The 20,977-nt window shown below is 43.9% G+C and overlaps 1 protein-coding gene and 1 long non-coding RNA gene across 6 annotated transcripts in view, besides 2 other annotated features; one reads left to right on the plus strand and one right to left on the minus strand.

Moving 5' to 3' along the window:
* The window catches only part of TYW1 (tRNA-yW synthesizing protein 1 homolog), a 242,682-nt gene extending 227,085 nt beyond the window's left edge, over positions 1-15,597 (plus strand). For 3 of the 4 annotated variants that reach the window (NR_134540.2, NM_018264.4, XM_017012392.3), the window contains one exon: positions 14,391-15,597. Coding sequence is in view for 3 of the 4 variants with exons in the window: in NM_018264.4 (NP_060734.2) it covers positions 14,391-14,612 (222 nt within the window). In the remaining variant the exon portion in view is untranslated. Of the gene's footprint in view, positions 1-2,465; positions 4,013-14,390 lie in introns of those variants that run through there. The other variant, XM_011516372.4, reaches the window with a different exon arrangement.
* On the minus strand, positions 4,286-13,035 carry LOC124901665 (uncharacterized). Of its 2 annotated transcripts, XR_007060372.1 has the most exons (3): positions 12,317-13,035; positions 8,733-8,805; positions 4,286-6,033 (listed from the first exon to the last, which is right to left on the minus strand). It is a non-coding gene; the product is annotated as an uncharacterized LOC124901665 (long non-coding RNA). The 2 variants fall into 2 exon arrangements; XR_007060371.1 differs by lacking the exon at positions 4,286-6,033 and having other exon boundaries at positions 6,278-8,805.
* Positions 16,800-17,342: an enhancer, noted in NCBI's record as "OCT4-NANOG hESC enhancer chr7:66705704-66706246 (GRCh37/hg19 assembly coordinates)". NCBI's record gives its function as "activates a minimal SCP1, AML or CMV promoter by ChIP-STARR-seq in primed H9 embryonic stem cells {active_cell/tissue: H9 hESC(primed)}" and the evidence as "EXISTENCE:reporter gene assay evidence [ECO:0000049][PMID:30033119]".
* Positions 17,025-17,319: a silencer, noted in NCBI's record as "tiled region #9158; K562 Repressive non-DNase unmatched - State 16:ElonW". NCBI's record gives its function as "represses a minimal TATA promoter and a strong SV40 promoter by Sharpr-MPRA in K562 cells {active_cell/tissue: K562}" and the evidence as "EXISTENCE:reporter gene assay evidence [ECO:0000049][PMID:27701403]".

Here is a 20,977-nt window from a genome sequence, read left to right on the forward strand (position 1 = left end):
CCAGTGTAATTTTTGTCTGGGTGGGGTAAAGTATTCCTAGTGCTTTCTACTCCAGCATCTTCCCAGAATCCTCTACCTGGATATTTTTAAAATTTATACTTAGTTGGATTCTGAAGTAAATTAACTTTGCTATTCTCCTTCAGCACAACACAAGGACTTTCCTGTGCTTTTTCCTACAAGTTTCCTTTTAAACAAGTTGATACTTGTTTGTTTGTTTATTTATTTTTGAGACAGAGTTTCGCTCTGGTTGCCCAGGCTGGAGTGCAATGGCACGATCTCAGCTCACTGCAACCTCCGCCTCCCGGGTTCAAGTGATTGTCCTGCCTCAGCCTCCCAAGTAGCCGAGATTACAGGTGTACACCACCACACGTGGCTAATTTTGTATTTTTAGTAGAGATGGGGTTTCACCATGTTGGTCAGGCCGGTCTTGAACTCCTGATCTCAAGTGATCCGCCTGCCTTGGCCTCCCAAAATGCTGGGATTACAGGCATGAGCCACCATGCCCGGCCAATACTTGTTTAGATGTGTCCTCGTACATACCACTTTCTCAGTTCACCTTTGTTTCTGGCACTCCCAGCTGTTCCTGCTGGCACAGTTTCCTTCTTACTGAACTCAGTGGTAAACTTAGCCTTCTTTTTTCTCCCCAAAACATCTTTATTTCACTTTCTTGAATAATAGATCATCAGAGTAGAAACTCTAAATCGAGGTATTTCCTATTAGCACTTTGAAGATATTCCTCTATTGCCTTCCAACATAATTATTTCATTATCTTCTAGTGTCTTTCATCACCACGAAGAAAATGTCTGGTGTCATTCCTTAGTTTCGGAGTCTGCTGATAAATTCAGCAACCAGTAACATTTATTAAGGTTACCGTGGTGAGCACTATACATGCCATAACTCATTTAATCCTTACAAAAGTCTATTGGATCATAGATACTATTTTTTCTCATATTCCAAAGGAGGAAACTGAGGCTTAAATGAGTACAAGTCTAGCTGGGTGCAGTGGCTCATGCCTGTAATCCCAGCACTTTGAGAGGCTGAGGCGGGTGGATCACCTGAGGTCAGGGGTTCAAGACCAGTCTGGCCAACATGGCAAAACCCCATCTTTACTGAAAATATAAAAATTAGGTGGGCATGGTGGCACTTGCCTGTAATCCTAGCTACTTGGGAGGCTGAGGCTGGAAAATCACTTGAACCCAGGAGGCAGAGGTTGCAGTGAGCCGAGATTGCACCACTGTACTCCAGCCTGGATGACAGAGCAAGACTCCGTCTCAAAAAAAAAAAAAAAAAAAAAAAAGTAGAAGTCTTGTCCAAGGGCAAGTAGGACACGACTAGAATTCAATCCCAAGTGTTTCCAAATACAAAGCCTACTTTGAACAAGTACGTTGCACAGACAAGGTAGGGAAGGTGAAATGTCCTTTGGAAACAGGAGACAGAGTCCCTGTCCCAGCACAGCCAACAGCAGTCTCCTTGATCTCCATGATCATTAGCTCTGAGAGTCTGGCCATAATTAAGATCCTGTAGATAATTAGGCACTGATCACAGGGACCTCCTTTTTGGAGATAATAAAACTTGTAGTCTGTGAAGGGAGGGGAAGAAGAGCTATCACCACCCCCACACCCTCCCATCTTGGAATAAGAAGGGACTTGTGTATCTCCATTTAGGTTTTGCCAGTGTTCTCTTAGCAAAACCTAGTGACTGTGGTACATGTGGAACTCACCCTCATCAGAGGCCTGATTGCTCCCAGCAGCAGTTGCTTTTAGAGAAATATCAGAGGAAATTGGCATTTTGGTAACACTGCTCAGAGGATTTAGCTCCACTGGAGATTAAGGTTGAAACTTCAGAAAATGAGTTTCCAGATAAACTTTTAGAGTTGCACTTGGCTATGTCAAGAATGTAATCTTATGGTTATAGTTTTGTCTGTGAAAATGGTTCCACGGGCAACTGTTACCATGTGAATCCTACTTATTACCAGTAAACTCAGAAGAAGGTGGCAACAGCTCTCAGCATTCCACTATTGCAGGCAATCACAAGTCTGCCCTTGTGATCTCTGCCTCTTCTTACCCAAAGAAGAAACTACACAGTTGTAGCTACAACCAGCAAGAACAAATTTTGGTAAATCTGGGAAGTTCACAAGATACCACTGTAATGAAACCACCATTGCAAAATTATGACTGAGACAATGAAAGAGATCTCACCTAACCGACTGCATCTTGCTTCTAACCTCCAAGCTGTCCTTCTTCATTCTTGGGTATAGACTGAACTAACTTTGGGAGGAATTTAGTTTATAGTTTATAATTTAAAACAAAGATGATAATAGCCCTTCCCTAAAACAAACCTCCTTCTTGCTAGGGACCCGATGGCCTTTGTAGGACTAAGAAATTAGCCAAACGATTAGAAATTAGTGTTTAGGAGTCATGCAGCTGGAGGCTACAAGATTCTGACCCTCCCTAAACTGCCCCTAGGATGAGTGCTTGAGAAATTTTGCAGACCTTGCACTTGATGGATCAGCTGGCACCACCCAGCTCGATAAACTGGCTCATCTGATCTTGTGGCCACCACCCAGGAACTGACTCAGCTCAAGAGGACATCTTCAGTTCCCAGTGATGTCATCTCTGACCAATCAGCACTCCTGGCTCACTGGCTTCCCCCAACCCACCAAGTTGTCCTTAAAAACTCTGCTGCTTGAATGTTCAGGGACACCGATTTGAGTAATCATAAAACTCCAGTCTCCCGCACAGCTGGCTCTGTGTGAATTACTCTTTCTCCATTACAGTTCCCCTGTCTTGATTAATTGGCTCTGTCTAGGCAGTGGGCAAGGTGAACCCACTGGGTGGTTTCAGTAATACTCTTTTTTGTAGTCTAAAAATCACCCCTCAGTATTCCAAAATCACTTCTCCCTCAGACGACCCCTGGACTTCCTCTACTCCCACACAGTTAACATTAATTTTGAGTTGTGAGAAGGTCCGGTAGCCTCTCTTCTTTCATCAATACTTCCCCTGCTGTGTGGCTTGTAAGTATGATTGTATGTTTGGAAGACCCATTTAGAAAATAATAATTGACACTAAGATCACATAAAAGCCCTTGAGTGTAGAAATGAAAATAATATGAATGATTCGTTTTGCATTAGTGTTCTTTTTTATTTTTGTTTTATTCCGTTTTGTCTATTATATATGGCCTTTGAAATGCTGATTGTGCAGATAGATGAATTTTACCCAAACAAAGGGCTGACCTTTGCCCTCAGCTTCTGGGAGGTGACCTCCAAGCCCTTGGAATGTCCTGCCTGATAAGAGTACCTTTGTTTATTTGTAGGCCTTAGGCCACACCAGATATTCTATTATTATTATTATTTTTTTGAGATGGGCGTCTCACTCTGTCGCCCATGCTGGAATGCAGTGGCACGATCTCTGCTCACAGCAACCTCCGCCTCCCAGGTTCAATTGATTCTCCTGCCTCAGCCTCCTACGTAGCTGGGATTACAGGCATGCACCACCACACCCGGCTAATTTTTGTATTTTTAGTAGAGACGGAGTTTCACCATGTTGGCCAGGCTGGTCTCAAACTCCTGACCTCAGGTGATCCTCCCACCTCAGCTGCCCAAAGTGCTGGGATTACAGGCGTGAGCCACCAAACCCGGCCCCCACACCAGATATTCTCTGCCAACCAAATGGTTTCATATAGTTGGGGCTTTGGGCCATGCAGTTATTGGCTCAACCTCTGGAGGGGCTGGAAATTAAGGTCAGACATGTAGCAGTCAACTGTGTCTAGGTGACTGAGCTGCAGTAAAATCTTTGGACACCAAGACTCAGGTGCATTTCCAAGGTTGGCAGCACTCTGTGCATATCATCACACATCCCTGCTGGGAGAAGTTAGCTCTGTCTATAACCCCTCTGCGATAGGACAACCGGAAGCTCCAGGCATGGAATTCTCCTAGACTCGGTCCCACGTGCCTGTTCCCTCGGTTAGCGTTAATGTGTGTCCTTATGCTATAATAAAACATACATGAATATAACAGCTTTCAGAGAGTTCTGTGGGTCCTTCTAGTGAACTGTTAAATCTGGAGGTGGTCTTGCGGGCCGCTGAACTTTGCACTGGTGAATGTGTTTTCTAATCCTCGTTTCACAGTTTCTCATTCTTAACTGCAATGTGGGAGTAGCTCTGTTTTCTGGGGTGATTGTGACGGCTAAATGAAGTGAAGTATAAAAAGCATCTAGAATTGTGCCTTGCCTATAGCAGTGTATTAGTCTTTTCTCACGCTGCTGATAAAGACATACCTGAGATTGGGTAATTTATAAGAAAAAAGAGGTTTAATGGACTCACAGTTCACGTGGCTGGGGTGGCATCACAATCGTGGCGGAAGGTGAAAGTCACGTCTCACATGGAGGCAGACAAGAGAAGAGAACTTGTGCAGGGAAACCCCCCTTCGTAAAACCATCAGATCTTGTGAGATTTATTCACTATCTCAAGAACAGCACAGGAAAGGCCCTCCTCCATGATTCAATTACCTCCTACCTGGTCCCTCCCACAACACATGGGAATTGTGGGAACTACAATTCAAGATGAGATTTGGGTGGAAACACAGCCAAACCATATCAAGCAGTTTCTTAATAAAGGCTTTTTCCTAAAGGTTCTGACCATTTGCTTTTTAAATAAAGAATGGTATAGTGTTACGTGGAGGAATAGTCATACAAACCACCTCCAATGTTGATGCTAATAAATAGCTTGTGGGGTACTCTTTTTTCAGCTCATATATAAGATTTCCTTCTTATTTCAACTCTTGAATGTGTAGAACTATGAGACCTTTGTATGATTAGAACTTTTTTCAGTGACTCTGCAGTATTTGTAACAAAAGCTGGAACAACTTTCAGCAGAACCTGGTTTGAGACAGTGGCTGGGGGCCAGCCGAATGATACAAGTTTTTTCTTTGTGACATTTTGAGTTTGAGATGACTGGATTTCCCGTATAGATGAGTCTCTGGAGAAGTTACAAGGGAAACCGATGGGAAGTCAGTTCTTCATCTGCAACCTCTTGCCTGTAACTGTTAGGAACTAGTTCATGTAATGGGAGGAGAATGTACTTCACTGTGCCAGTTTTATTTTTTTGGTTATTATTTTCTGAGAAGGGATGGAAGCTTGTAAATAAAATCAAAGAAATCAAAGGCAGAGTACACTGACTTTAGAGGTCTGCATAAAAAGCTTTCGGCTCCCCTCGTTTGCCTAAGGCCTCTTGTGCTGTACTTGAGTAGAGAAATAATTAACAGATAGTAGGCTTTTCAGTGCACTCATTGTTTAGACTGAATGCCAAGAGAAGTTGAAGTACCTTAAGAATTTAGAATATAGGCCGGGTGCGGTGGCTCATGCCTGTAATCCTAGCACTTTGGGAGGCTGAGGCGGGCGGATCACCTGAGGTCAGGAGTTTGAGACCAGCCAGGCCAACGTAGCGAAACCCCATTTCTACTAAAATTGCAAAAATTAGCTGGGCCGTGGTGGGGCATGCCTGTAATCCCAGCTACTCAGGAGGCTGAGACAGGAGAATCTCTTGAACCTGGGAGGCAGAGGTTTCAGTGAGCCGAGATTGTGCCACTGCACTCTAGCCTGGGCAACAGAGTGAGACTCCATCTCAAAAAAAAAAAAATTGGAATATACACTGTTTTCTGTAAGTTTTAGATAAGTTAAACAAAGGGAGTTAACTTAGGGATATTGCACACAAATAAGGGGTAAAACAAAATCAAACAAACAAAAAAAACAATGCTCTGGCCAGGTGAGGTGGCTCACACATGTATTCCCAGCATTTTAAGAGGCTGAAATGGGAGAATTGCTTGAGTCCTGGAATTCAAGACCATCCTGGGCTGCATAGCAAGACTGTCTCTCTACAAAACGTTAAAACATTAGCTGGATATGGTGGCATGCACTGTAGTCCCAGCTCTTCCAGAGACTGAGGAGGGAGGATCCTTGAGCCGAAGAAGTTGAGGCTTCAGTGAGCTATGATTGCACCACTGCACTCCAGTCTGGGTGACAGAGGAAGACCCTGTCTCTAAAACAAAACAAAACAAAAAGCCTCTCTTTGCAGTTTCCTTGAGAAATATTTGAAAGACATGACTGTTAGTTCTGTCATTTTCCAGTTTGAAAGCTACCAGTCACATGGGATCATGTAATGGCCACGGTCTCTTTAACACCCTCCAATTTGAATCTTGGCCCTCTACTTCCTTAGGATATGGCCTAAGCACATCTATCACTTAGCTTTTTTTGGACTTTTGCTCTCATTCAAAAGATAGGAATGTGACTACAACATGTTTATTATGTGGATTACACAAGATACAGAACCAAACATAGCACCTAGTACCCAGTAGGACACTTCACAAGGATTTGTCACTACTGTTTGCCTGCCAGTCCTCTCCTTTCCTCTGCCCTACATTTTTTGGCTGAGGTTGTTGATGTGCTTTTTCCTTTCTTGGATACAGTCACCACTATTTTAAACCTTATTTTTAGTTTTGTCAAAATTCTACATGGACAGTTAAAAAGTCCAAGTTTATTAAAAAACAAAACAAAACAAAAAAGCAGCAGTTCCTTGTACCCTCCTCAAACACAAACACACCTCCATTTCCCCCTCTCAAGCAACAACCACTTTCAGATTTTCTAGGTGATTCATTTGGTATTTATCTCCGTATCTCTAAATAGCATACTTATATTGCTGCTCGCCCCTGCACCCCCAACCCACCATTTTGCTTATTATCTCTTTTTTTTTTTTTTTTTTGAGGCGGAGTCTTGCTCTGTCCCCCAGGCTGGAGTGCAGTGGCGCGATCTCGGCTCACTGCAACCTCTACCTCCCGGGTTCAACCAATTCTCCTGCTTTAGCCTCCTGGGTAGCTGGGACTACAGGAGGCTGCCAGTTTTTGTATTTTTAGTAGAGGCGGGGTTTCACCTTGTTGGCCAGGCTGGTCTTGAACTCCTGACCTCAAATGATCCACCCACCTCGGCCTCCCAAAGTGCTGGGATTACAGGTGTGAGCCACCATGCCTGGCTGCTTATTATCTCTTTACTGTGTACCATGGAAGATGAGGCTTGAGCTTGCTTCTACCTTCTCCTGGAACATCCTTTCCCATTCCCCCACCCTCCTAACATACACATACCAGATTTTTATTTAGATGATTTTTTTTTGCATTATTATAACCACGTGAACACTGTTCATGGCCAAGCCATGCCATCTCCTGCAATTGCTATTTGTTTCCAGTGCCACCTTTGGTTAATTTTTATTATTTTCTTCATCTAGATTTCTGTGTTATTTCGCTAACAACTCTCAAACTCTCTGCCATCTCAAATATATTGCCTCGCAGACTTTCAGATGCATTGGATTTGCTATCAGGTTCATCTTTTTGAAGAAGTCTCTGCAGGACACTTACTTACCCACCTACCTTGGACAGTTCACTCTCTACCACCTAGTTCACAGCTGTTATCCTGGGATCACCAGCTCTGTCTTGAGTGAAATGTCTCTGGGATCCTGTGTTTCCTAAAGTTACTCCTTCATTCACAGGAAACACAACTTCTAGGAGATTCCTAAGAAACTGGCATGTAAAAAGTACAACTTTTTGAGACCTTTAATGTCCAAACGTGTTTTCATTCTCCCTACGCATTTGATTTGGATATAGAATTCTTGGCTGGAAACTATTCCCCCTTTGAGGTTGGACCTGCTGTCTTTCAGCTTTCCTTGCAGTAATTGAGAACTCAAAAGGCATTCAGATTCCTAATCCTCTGTGTATGACCATGTTTTTCTCATTCGATTTTCTCTTTGTCTCCATTGTTTTGAAATTTCGCTATAATGTGCCTCAGACGGTGTGTCTGGTTTTATCCATTGTAGACACCTTTAATGTGGAAACTCATGTCCTTCACTTCTTAACATTTCCAGAATTATTTCAATGAATATATCCTCTCTTCTATTTTTTTTTTCTCCTTTCTGTCTAGAACTACTAAAAAGAAAAGTTTTAAATTGGGTCTTATGGACTAGTTCTTTAATATTAAAAAAAAAATCTTTTTTGTCAGGTGCAGTAGCTCACGCCTGTTATCCCAGCACTTTGGGAGGCCTAGGCAGGTGAATCACCTGAGGTCAGGAGTTCAAGACCAGCCTGGCTAACATGGTGAAACCCCATCTCTACTAAAAATACAAAAAATTAGCCGGGCGTGGTGGCGTGTGCCTGTAGTCCCAGCTACCCTGGAGGCTGAGGCAGGAGAATCTCTTGTACCTGGGATGTAGAGGTTGCAGTGAGCTGAGATCATGCCATTGCACTCCAGCCTGGGTGACAGAGTGTCTGCGCCCAGCCACTGCCCCCAGCCTCTTTTTATTTTTATCCCTCTATCATGTTAGAAGTTTTTCTGAGGTGGCTGATGGTCATTGGTTATATGCTTGTATTTGAGAATGGGAGACTAAAGACCAGCCTGGCCAACATGGTGCAACCCCATCTCTTCAAAAAATACAAAAATTAGCTGGGTATGGTGGTGCACACCTGTAATCCCAGCTACTCGGGAGGCTGAGGCAGGAGAATCACTTGAACCCGAGAGGTGGAGGTTGCAATGAAGCCGAGATTGCGCCACTGCACTCCAGCCTGGGCAACAGAGCATGACTCCGTCTCAAAAATAAATAAATAAAAATAATAATAAAAAATAAAGAGCACCCTAATGGTTTGGGGTTGACTCTATCTTGGAGTGATCTGCTGGATCATTTCCTTAGGGAATCCCAACCTCAGTATCTTGTCATCTGTCTTCTTGGGCTGGTCAGTAGGGTCTTCTCATTTTCTGCAGCTTGCAATGGTCCCTGGTGGTCCAGAAACAGGAAAGGAAATAGTTTTATTATGGCAGCCCTGCTCTCAGCTATACCTGCTGTCCCACAGACCACAGATCCTTTCTGAATTGTCTTCTGAGAAGAAACCTCTAAGCATCTGTCGGGGCATGGAGTGGGCAGGTGCTCAGCTGTGAATATATGCAGGGGGCTCAGGAACTTGAGATTCTAATCGTGTCTTAAACAGAATATAAACCTGCCTTTGGGTTTTTGGTGGGGAGTGGGTTTGGTACCTCCTCAATCCATGCTTCCTGTCGGGGGAACTAGTGCAGCCAGTTTCTGAGCCTTTGAGGAATTCTAAAGCATAATTTGGGCTGAATCTTGGATTTCTCTATTTGCTGGCTTAGGATTCAGCTCTCTTGGGTCTGCTAAACCAGTTTGCTCACCCATCATCTGTTCAGCTTCTGAAAGTCCAATACTGTTTTCTCCTCTCCTGGTAGCTTTATTTTTATGTTATATATCTTTTTTAAATGTTCTTACTGTCATTTTAGTGGGGTTTCAAGAGGAAGTAATAGTAAATGCATGTGTTTAATCTACCATCTTTAATAGAATCTTTTTAAACATTTACACTAACAGAGAACCTATGCCATTATTATTGTTTAGCGAAATTCTCCCTGTGTGAAAGAGGAGAACATAAGGAGAACAAGGCCCTTTGTACAGCAGTTTGATTCTTGCAGAGAGTGGGAGCCTGCATTGCCTCATCTAGCCAGCAAGGCCACAGACCCTTAGCAGCCTGGCTTTTTTAAGTCAGGCTGTATCTTATTGCACTTGTGTGTTTTTAAGATCATTTATGACCTTTTGAGTTTATTTGTAATTCTGCATAGATTCCGTTCTTCCCTTACTGTTGGATTCGAGGGATTCTTTTAGCAGGGTGACCTCGTGTCTCAGGATACTTAACTTCAGATTTTACGATTTGGGGTCTCATGCCTCTGTTTATGCAGCTGTCTCTCAGCGCTGTTTGTGTGTCAGTCATACCAAATTTTGCTCTTTCAGCTTCTGCCTTTTACATGGAACACTTTGATTTTTTCTGAGCTGTGATTATTCAGTATGATTCGTCTCAGATTGCCCTGAGAGGCGGCACATGTGGTTCAGTTTTGTCTTTTGGGTCTAGTGGTTCTGTTCATTTCAGAATAACTTACTCTTAAGGACTGAATGTTTGTGGCCCCCCTCCCCTCCCAAGTTCATAGGTTGAGGTCCTAACTCCCAGCGTGGCTATATTTGGAGATGGGGTTTCAAAGGAAGCAACTGGGATTAAATGAGGTTATAAGGGTAAGCCCTGATCTAATAGGATCAGTGTCTTTATAAGAAGAGACATCAGGGCTGGGTGCGGTGGCTCATGCCTATGATCCTAGCATTTTGGGAGATCAAGGTGGGAGGATCACTTGAGGCCAGGAGTTCAAGAGCAGCCTGGGCAAAATAGCTAGACCCTTTCTCTACAGAAAATTTAAAAATTAGTTGGGCATGGTGACATGTACCTGTAATCTGAGCTACGCAGGAGGCTGAGGTGGGAGGATGGCTTGAGCCCACAAGATTGAGGCTGCAATGTGCAATAGTTGCACCACTGCACTCCAGCCTGGGTGACAGAGTGAGAACCTATCTCTTAAAAAAAAAAAAAAAAAAGGAAGAAGAGACATGAGAGGGCCCAAGTCACTTGCTCACTCACTTTCCGTGTACATGTACCAAGAAAAGGCCATGTGGGAAAGAGCAAGAAGGCAGCCGCCTTCAAGACAGGAAGAGAGCCCTCACCAGAAACTGAGCCAGAACCTTGGAATTCCAGCCTCCAGAACTGTGAGAAAAGAATTTTCTGTTGTTTCAGTCCCCCACACTATGGCATTTTGTTACGGCAGCCTGAGCTAATACTCCTACTTTGTCCTGCATTTACTTGGTCTTCCAGTTAGTTTTTTAGACTTTGGGAATCAGAGCAGTCAGTTGTCAGATTTTAGCTTACAGTTGTCCTACCTGTGCAACTGAAATTTCTTCCATTTTAAACCAGAGCAGAGTTTTAGAGTCAAAAGAAACCAGATCTTTTAGTGCAGAAGCTTTCACACTGTATTAGAAGTGAGGAAGTTGGTTTTGTGAGTTGCAGCCAGCAGTTCTCTTATGAAGTGCATTGCCTGCAGTTTTGTGAAAGTTGTATTCCCAGCTTGTGTGTGTATATTTGCGTGTACTAGATTGAGATATAAAGTATATTTTTGACTGTAGGTATGGTAAAAAAAAAAAAAAATTTAAGTCCATTGTATTGCTCAAACTAATCCTTTACTCTCTCTTAGAACACCCATGGTAAATGATCATGTTAGAGTTTGAGGGTGAAGGAGCATCAGGATTATGAACCAGAGGGGTCAGACTTCAGATCTAGAAATCAAAACACCAAAGGGACACAAATAGGGAAGAAGAGAGTATGGTCATCTCTTGTCTTTCAGCAAGCAACACTGGGATCCCCAAAGAGACTCCTCTACAGGGCCAAGCTTGTGTGATTTATCACACCTGTCCCTGTACTCCCCAAGTGCCTTGTACATAACCTCACCTGCTATACATGCTATGTTGTATTATAATTATTTTCTAAATGTATGTAACTGGGCCAAGTCCATAGTTGTCCCAATTGGCCCATGTTGATGGATGGATCATGATTTTTGGCCTCATTTGACTGTCATGCATGTTGAATTACATGTTAATGTCATGTCAGTCACCCCAGGCTCAGTCAAGGGTGAGTGTCATGCCTCTGTCATGAATACACAGTGAAGCAGTCCCTTTTATTCCATGGAGCCAGTAGCAGCAAAATCCCATCATGTCTCAAGATGTCAGTAGAACGGGTGGAATTTTGATTCTTTGTATGGTCTTCTAGATTTGTTAAGAGGTGAGGAAGGGCTGGGTGCAGTGGCTCACGCCTGTTATCCCAGCACTTTGGGAGGCCGAGATGGGCGGATCACAAGGTCAGGAGATCGAGACCATCCTGGCTAACTCGGTAAAACACTGTGTCTACTGAAAATACAAAAAAAAATTAGCCAGGTGTGGTGGCAGGTGCCAGTAGTCCCAGCTACTTGGGAGGCTGAGGCAGGAGAATGGCGAGAACCCGGGAGGCGGAGCTTGCAGTGAGCCGAGATAGCACCACTGCACTCCAGCCTGGGAGACAGAGCGAGACTCTGTCTCAAAAAAAAAAAAAAAAAGAAAAAGAGGTGAGGAAGAAAGACTGGGCCCTCGCATGTCCTGGGTGATGGCATATGTTGTTAAGTTCCTATATTCACAGAGCCAGCAGGCTTGGTGGGGTGGAATGCAGGAGGAAACTGCAGGGACCATTATAGTGTCTGCGGAAGTTCAAGACAGTGAGGTCCTGTGGCCAGGAAACTGACAGAAATTGTCTAACATGGGAACTCTCTCACTGCAACCGAACTAACAGGATTTAGGAAGACTTCCCAGAGCAAAGGATGAAGGACATGTGAGTTAGACAGAGGGAACAGCTTGGGCGTCACGTGAGAGGACCACAGCTCACCAAGAGATGCAGATTTGATACTCAGACTTTACATTCAGGATCATAGGAATCAATTCTGCTGTCGGCACAGTCTCAGGCCGTCTGTGGGAAGTTGAGAGAAGCCACAGCTGGAATCAGAAGGTCAATTGGCTGGAAGACAGTGGCTGTGGCCCAGAGGAAGGGCCTGCGTGACCAAGTCACGCCACTGGCAGCAGAAGTGCTGCCCAGGGAGAATCGATGGAGGTGGTGTGAGCGGCCAGGGAAAAGGAGGTCACCTTTGACTCTGCAGTTTCGAGGCTCAGTGCCTGGGAATGACAGTGATTGCCTCCACAACAGTAGACAACACTTCAGGGACAGTCTGTCTTGGGAGAGAAAATGATGGTGAGATATAAATTTTACATCTTGGGTTGTAGAGTTCACAGGGCCCTTGAGGCACCATTTCCATGAATGGTCTTATTACAAGAAAATTTCTTCTAATTCATAGAGTAATTAAACTTTTCCACATATTCAGCATTTTCCCCCTAGAAAGCTCTTAGCTAGTGGGTAAAAAATCAGATGTCATTTAAATTCAGCATATTTTAATATTCTAAATTCAGGAACCTATGTATTTTCTTTCTTTTTTTTGTGGCTAGAACAGGAAATTGTTCCTTAGTTCATTTAGTTCATTGGAGTTTTCTTATTTTTATTTTTGAGATGGAATTTCACTCACGTCACTGAGGCTAGAGTGCAGTGGCACTGTCTCAGCTCACTGCAACCTCCACCTCCCAGGTTCAAGCGATTCTCCTGCCTCAGCCTCCCGAGTAGCTGGGATTACATGCACACACCACCACGCCTGGCTAATTTTTGTATTTTTAGTAGAGATAGGGTTTTACCATGTTGGCCAAGCTAGTCTTGAACGCCTGACCTCAGGCGATCCACCTGCCTCGGCCTTTGAAAGCGCTGGGATGACAGGCGTGAGCCACCGTGCCTGGCCATTAGTCGAAGTTTTTTAAAAGACAGTGGCATGGGCCGGGCGTGGTGGCTCACGCCTGTAATCCCAGCACTTTGGGAGGCCAAGGCCGGTGGATCACGAGGTTAGGAGATCGAGACCATCCTGGCTAACACGGTGAAACCCCGTCTCTACTAAAAATACAAAAAATTAGCCAGGTGTGCTGGCAGGAGCCAGTAGTCCCAGCTACTCGGGAGGCTGAGGCAGGAGAATGGCATGAACGCAGGAGGCAGAGCTTGCAGTGAGCCGAGATCAGGCCACTACACTCCAGCCTGGGCTACAGAGTGAGACTCTGTCTCAAAAAAAAAAAAAAAAAAAGACAGTGGCATGACAAGTACTTGTCTGTTTATGAGTCAGGTATCAGCATATTAGTTAATACATTTACAGAAATGAATGCCAAACAATAGCTTTGAATTAAAAGCCTTCACAGTTCAATTAGTATTTCCTTCTGAGCCTCTTCAACTTTCTTTCTGTTTTCTTCATTCCAGGTCATTATTCCACCGTGACTTTTGAGAAGCAATTTTCTTAAGAGAGTACAAATTGGATTATCCCCTCTTACTGAATTGAAATTTTTCAGGCTTTCCACTAATGAGATATTGTATCCACGTTAGGCCAGAAAAGCTAGTTTGAGTCATTTAGTTAGCATGTTTGAATTAGAAGTTATTGATGAAACCTTCACTAATAACTCAAGCCAAGTTGAGTCTAAAAAGGATTCCACGAGGTGCTGTTAACACAGCCTTGAAAATTTGTAACCGATCAAAAGCAGCAACAGCAGGAATTAGAATGAGTTTGAATTAGTCACATGGTAACATGGAAACATTTAACCCTGTGTCAGCGGGACTGCTTGAGATAAACTTGACTTGTCTTCCGGGCCCAGCAAAACTGCAGGCCCAAGGGAAAGGAAGCTCTCCTGTGATTGTAGCGCATCTTGGTTTGATAGGAAGTCATGTCTGGAACATGGAAGAGGTTTTTTTGTGTTTGTTTTTGTTTTTGTTTTCTTGACGTGATAGGGAGAAAAGATCAGACTTGTTCATGATTTTAAAAACATTCATTTTTTTTTTCTAGGGATGTTTTTACTTCTGACTTGACACATTTTTTTCTTTCCAGTTTAAAATTGGTGGTGAATGGTGGACATGGATCGATTATAACCGCTTCCAGGAGCTCATCCAGGAATATGAAGATAGTGGTGGATCAAAAACGTTCAGCGCAAAGGATTATATGGCCAGAACTCCTCACTGGGCATTATTTGGTGCCAGTGAAAGAGGCTTTGATCCCAAGGACACAAGACATCAGAGAAAGAACAAATCAAAGGCTATTTCTGGATGTTGAGATTATCTGATTTCAAGGTACTGAAGGACAAAAACTTGGATGGCCTCAAAAGGTTCTTGAACACCACTGTGATTCTCCAAGGACGAATTACGTAAATTATACTTTCATACAAAGGAGACGATAAGGCAGTAAACATGGAGACACGGGGGACAGCGTCCACACTCAGAGGGCCTGGGCCACAGCCCCGATGTTTCTTTTCAGAACTCAGCCCCTTTCCTGATTTTACTTCTAAGAGGAAAATTATTTTGGGGAGGAACTACACAGTCGTGATTAGAATTTATCTGATGGTTTTGTATTATAACTTGTAAGACCTGCCAGAATGCTAGTCCCGAGAGTGTCAGACAAGGAAGAAGTCCCTGGGCCTCTTCCCCTTACCCGGCCCTTAGATTTCATGGAGCAGCCACTTAGCATTGAATTGCACTACCCTGAGCTAAACGTGTCTGTGCTTTCTAAGATAAGAGCTTGATCCCTTTCTTCTATCTTAAGACAGCACCTCCTGAAAAGAATCGAAGTTGTCACAACTCTCAATTATTTTTTAAATACTGCATAGATTGAGTTTTGGTTTATTACCAACCCTTCCCAGAATTGCGTTGGATCTAAAACTACTAGATCTCATCCCATTCCCATGTAAATTACCACAGACCGCAGTACCGGGGCTGGAGCGGAGTGAAGCTGTCTGCTGTAAGAGGAGTGGCCATGTGAGGGCATGGAGTCATTAGTCTCACAAACACACTTTGGACTGAAGAGGATCATTTCTTTTTGTTCGTGAGGTCACTGTCCAGGCCTCTCATATCATGACCAGACGGCGGGTCTCCATCTTCTTTCACTCCTGTGGCCCTGGCTGCTTTACACAATCTGTTCTATAAGGTTCAGGTGTTTTCAAGTTGGAAAGATCATAAATACTCAAAATTGTTTTCAAGTTAGCAAGTTCTTTTAACAGTCTTTTATGCAAAAATTGAATTAATAAAATAATCTTTTGTAAAGACTTGCAGCATGAGTTTTTTAAAATTTTCTAATTATTGTGGCTACATATTAGGTGTATATATGGGGTACATGGGATGTTTTCATACAAGCATGCATGCGTAATAATCACATCATGGAGAATGGGGTCTCCATCCCCACGAGCATTTATCCTTTGTGCTAAAACCAATCCAATTATACTCTTTTAGTTATTTTTTATTTTTATTTATTTATTTATTTTGAGACAGAGTCTTACTGTCACCCAGACTGGAGTGCAGTGGTGTAATCTTGGCTCACTGTCACTTCTGCCTCCCGGGTTCAATTGATTCTCCTGCCTCAGCCTCCCGAATAGCTGGGATTACAGGCATGCACCACCATGCCTGGCTAATTAATTTTTGCATTTTTAGTAGAGATGGGATTTCACCATGTTGGCCAGGCTGGTCTTGAACTCCTGACCTCAGGTGATCCTCCTGCCTCAGCTTCCCAAAGTGCTAGGATTACAGGCATGAGCCACCACGCCCGGCCAGTCCTGCAGTTCTAAACCCTGTTAGACCCACCTTTTGTAACTCTATCCTCTATTCTATGCTGAATTAAAATTCATAGATATATAATCTACCTACCCAGTTGAAAACTGGACACTTTTCTTTTTTTTTTTTTTTTTTTTTTTTGGCAACAGGGTCTTGCTCTGTTGCTGAAGCCGGAGTGCAGTAGCACAATCACGGCTCACTGCAGCCTCAAATCTCCTGGGCCCAAGCAGTCCTCCCACCTCAGCCTCCTGCGTAGCTGGGACTGCAGGCGTACACCACCAAGCTCAGCTAAATTTTTTTGATGTTTTTTGTAGACACAGGGTCTCACTATGTTGCCCAGGCTGGTCTTGAACTCCTGAACTTGAGAGATCCTCCTGCCTCAACCTCCCATAGTAGCTAGGATTACAGGCATGAGCCACCACACCTGGCCACCATACTTATTATTTCTCTTTCCTTTTTTTTCTTTTTTTTTTTTTTTTTGAGATGGAGTCTTGCTCTGTTGCCCAGGCTGGAGTGCAGTGGCGTGATCGCAGCTCACTGCAAGCTCCACCTCCTAAGTTCAAGCGATTCTCCTGCCTCAGCCTCCCGAGTAGCTGGGACTACAGGTACCCACCACCATGCCTGGCTAATTTTTGTATTTTTAGTAGAGCCGGGGTTTCACCATATTGGCCAGGCTGGTCTTGAACTCCTGACCTTGTGATCCGCCTGCCTCGGCCTCCCAAAGTGCTGGGATTACAGCCGGGAGCCACTGCACCCACCCCCACCATACTTATTTCTAAATGGTAGAATCAATCAAAATACTTTTCTGTATTGTTACATGGATCAGTGAATACAGGAAAGACCAATCGTTTTTCTCTCTGTACTCACACCACTCAATCCTTCACTTCTGACACCAAATTTGTGGGGCTTTTTGCTATACCAATCAATTCTCTGACACCAGCCGGGCATCCTACTGTTCAGTTCAATTCTGATGCTAATGAATTAACAAAGACTCCCTGAGTTAAGAGCTCAGTCCCAACGCCCGGCACCATGGCTCACGCCTGTAATCCCAGCACTTTGGGAGGCCCAGGCAGGCGGATTACCTGAGGTCAGGAGTTCAAGACCAGCCTGACCGACATGGTGAAACCCCGTCTCTACTAAAATTACCAAAATTAGCCGGATGTGGTGGTGTGCACCTGTAATCCCAGCTACTCAGGAGGCTGAGGCAGGAGAATGGCTTGAACCCAAGAGGCAGAGGTTGCAGTGAACTGAGATGGCACCACTGCACTCCAGCCTGGGTGACAGAGCAAGACTCTGTCTCAAAAAAAAAAAAAGCTCAGTCCCACAAGACTGTCCCTCACTTCAGACACTAGTTGCAGGTAGGAGGTCCCCAGGTTACCCACAGCTTCTGTTTGACATGGCCATAAATCAGAGGTTCTTCCTCTGTAAATCAGAGGAACCACATTCTTAGGTTCAATAATTTGCTAGAGTAGCCCACAGAACCCAAGAAAACAATTCACTTACTATTGCGGATTTATTAGGATTTTTTTTTTTTTGGAAACAGTCTTGCTGCATTGCCCATGCCGGAGTGCAGTGGTACAATCTCAGCTCAGTACAACCTCTGCCTCCTGGGTTCAAGCGATTCTTGTGCCTCAGCCTCCCAAGTAGCTGGGATTACAGGCATGAACCACCACACCTGGCTAATTTTTATATTTTTAGTACAGACAGGATTTCACCATGTTGGTCAGGCTGGTCTTGAACTCCTGACCTCAAGTGATCTACCTTTCTCAGCCTTCCAAAGTGCTGGGATTACAGGCTTGAGCCACCGCACCCAACTTATTAGGATATTTCAAAGGATGCAAATGAACAGGCAGATGAAAAGATACAGAGGGCAAGGTCTGGGAAGATCCTGGGCAGAGAAGCTTCTGTCCCTGGGGAGTTGAGCTGTGCCACCCTCCCAGCATGTTGATGTATTTAGCAGTCTGGAAGCTCCCTATGTGCCATAGTTAGTGGTTGTTACGGAAGCTTCATCATGTAGGCACCCCAGCAGATCGGGGGTGGGGCTGAAAGTTCCAATCTTCTAATCATGTCGGTCCTTCTGGTGGCCAGCCTCATCCAGGAGCCCACCAAAAGCAAGCCCACTTCATTAGAACAAAAGATGCTCCTGTAACCCAGGACATTCCAAGAGATTTGGAGCTCAATGGCAGGAGCTGGGTCAAAAAGCAAATATGAGGATAAAAGCTGCACCCGTGCTGGGTGCACTCAGGAGATTACAAGGGTTTCAAGAGCTCTGTTCCAGGTACCGAGGACAGAGACTAAATACCAAATATATATATAAAATTATGTCACAGATGGGATAGTGACAAAGTAGCACAGAAGTGTTATCTTTCTTGAAGTCACTGGGTCTTTTTTTTGAGATGGAGTTTCACTCTGTTGCCCAGGCTGGAGTGCAGTGGTGAGATCTTGGCTCACTGCAACCTCTGCCTTCAGGTTCAAGTGATTCTCCTGCCTCAGCCTCCTGAGTAGCTAGGACTATAGGCATGCGCCACGAACGCCTGGCTAATTTTTGTATTTTTAGTAGAGATGGGGTTTCACCATGTTGGCCAGGCTGGCCTCGAACTCCTGACCTCAAGTGATCCGCCTCGACCTCCCAGAGTGCTGGGATTACAGGTGTGAGCCACTGCGATTGGCCCAAGTCACCAGGTCTTTAAGAACGTTTTTTGTTTTTAAATTTTCTTTAACAGATGGGGTCTCACTCTGTCACCCAGGCTGGAGTGCAGCGGTGCAATCACTGCTCACTGCAGCCTCAAACTCCTGGGCTCAAGCAATCCTCCCACCTCAGTCTCTTAAGTAGCTGGGACCACCAGCACATGCCACCATGCCTAATTTTTCAATTTTTTGTAGAGATGGGGTCTTGCTGTGTTACCCAATCTGGTCTTGAACTCCTGGCCTCAAGCAATTCTACCATCTTAGACTCCCAAAGCACTGGGATTATAGGTGTGAACCACCATGCCTGGTCCCCGCCACATCTTTCAGCTTCTGTTCAGTCCCCTGTTCTGCTGACTGACTTAATGCAACAGACAGGGCCAGGTGGTCCAAGTCAGTGAAGCAGGGTCTTACTGAGACACAGATGTGTTAGTGGTCACTGAAGAGAGATGGAAAAAGTCTTTCAAGTAGGATGAAGTGTTAGAAAGTAAGAGCTTATGCTAAGGAGCCCACAGATGGGCTCTTATACAGGAGAGTTAACAAAGCATCCAGTTGTTGGAAAGCAACTCGGAGGCTGCCCTAAGGAGTGAGGAAGGAGGCAGAGCATGCAGGACTTTGTGCTACTCCTCAACCTCTTTTCAACCACACAGGTCTGCTTTTCTTTTTTATGAATTGAAGTCCTGCTTAATATATATATATATATATATTTTTTTTTTTTTTTTTTTTTTTTTGAGACAGTCTTGCTCTGCCACCCAGGCTGGAGTGCAGTGGTGTGATCTCAGCTCACTGCAACCTCTGCATCCCGGGTTCAAGTGATTCTCTGCCTCAGCCTCCTGATTAGCTGAGATTTCAGGCACAAATCACCATGCCTGGTGAATTTTTGTATTTTTGGTAGAGATGGCGGGGGGGGGGGTCTCACCATGTTGGCCAGGCTAGTCTCAAACTCCTGACCTCAAGTGATCCGCCCACCTCAGCCTCCCAAAGTGCTGTGATTATAAGTGTGAGCCACCATGAGTGGCCTCAAGATTTAAATTGAACAAAGATATTTTATTGTTTCAAAGAAAAAAAAAAAGCAAACCTCTTACCTACAGAATGAACCCTCCTGATTCCATTAACTTTTTTTTTTTTTTGAGACAGAGTCTCGCTCTGTCGCCCAGGCTGGAGTGCAATGGCACAATCTCAGCTCACTGCAAGCTCCGTCTCCCAGGTTCACGTCATTGTCCTGCCTCAGCCTCCCCAGTAGCTGGGACCACAGGCACCCGCCACCACGCCTGGCTAATTTTTTGTATTTTTAGTAGAGACGGGGTTTCACTGTGTTATCCAGGATGGTCTCAATCTCCTGACCTCGTGATCTCAATCTCCTGATTCTCATTGATAGATGAGTGTTTTTCTTTCATCCCAGAAAATATTGATGTATTGATTCATATTTAAAATAACAGCACTTTAAGCCCAGTTCACAGTCACAACAGAACATTTGAAATGTCTAAGGAAAATACAATGCAATCTACATGAAAACATTCATTAAGTTTGCTGAACAGTATAAAAGTGGGAGAGAATGGGAAACCTGAATGTTCTAAGAAGGTGATCTGTTGGCAAAATAACATCCCAAGTTCTATCAGAATTTCTTTTTGGAGCTTAAGAAAATGATTCTAACATTCAACTGAAAAATTAGCCAAACAGACAATAGTTAAGAAATTTTAGAAAAAATAACTATTAAGTGAAAGTTGGTTTATATTAAAATATGCTACCTAAATAATTAAAATGAAATGAGATCAGTTCCAAAACGGCAGAGTGGGGGCCTCAGTGAACTCTGTCTCCCTCTAAAACAATGAAAATATGCGCAATACATCTAAAATAAACCAATTTTAGAATTCTGATAATAAACTGGAATTTCACCACAAACTGAAAATCATCTATCGAATGAACTTCAGTAAAATTAGCTGTTGACTTCTCAGCAGAAAACATGGATGCCAGAAGAGAGGATGAAATAGATGGTTAGCCAAAAATGTTCTATCTAGTTAAACCCTTTTTCAGAATTAATGGAGAAATGAAGACATTGCCAGATAAACAAAGAATTTGTCATTAGCAAACCTTCCCAAAAGAAGTACTAAAGGGAGTTTTTTCAGGCTTTAATGAAAGGACACCAGATTTTTTTTTTTTTTTTTTGAGACAGAGTCTCACTCTGTCACCCAG

The sequence above is a fragment of the Homo sapiens genome, chromosome 7 (genome assembly GCF_000001405.40).
Source record: "Homo sapiens chromosome 7, GRCh38.p14 Primary Assembly".
Taxonomy (NCBI): Eukaryota; Metazoa; Chordata; class Mammalia; order Primates; family Hominidae; genus Homo; species Homo sapiens.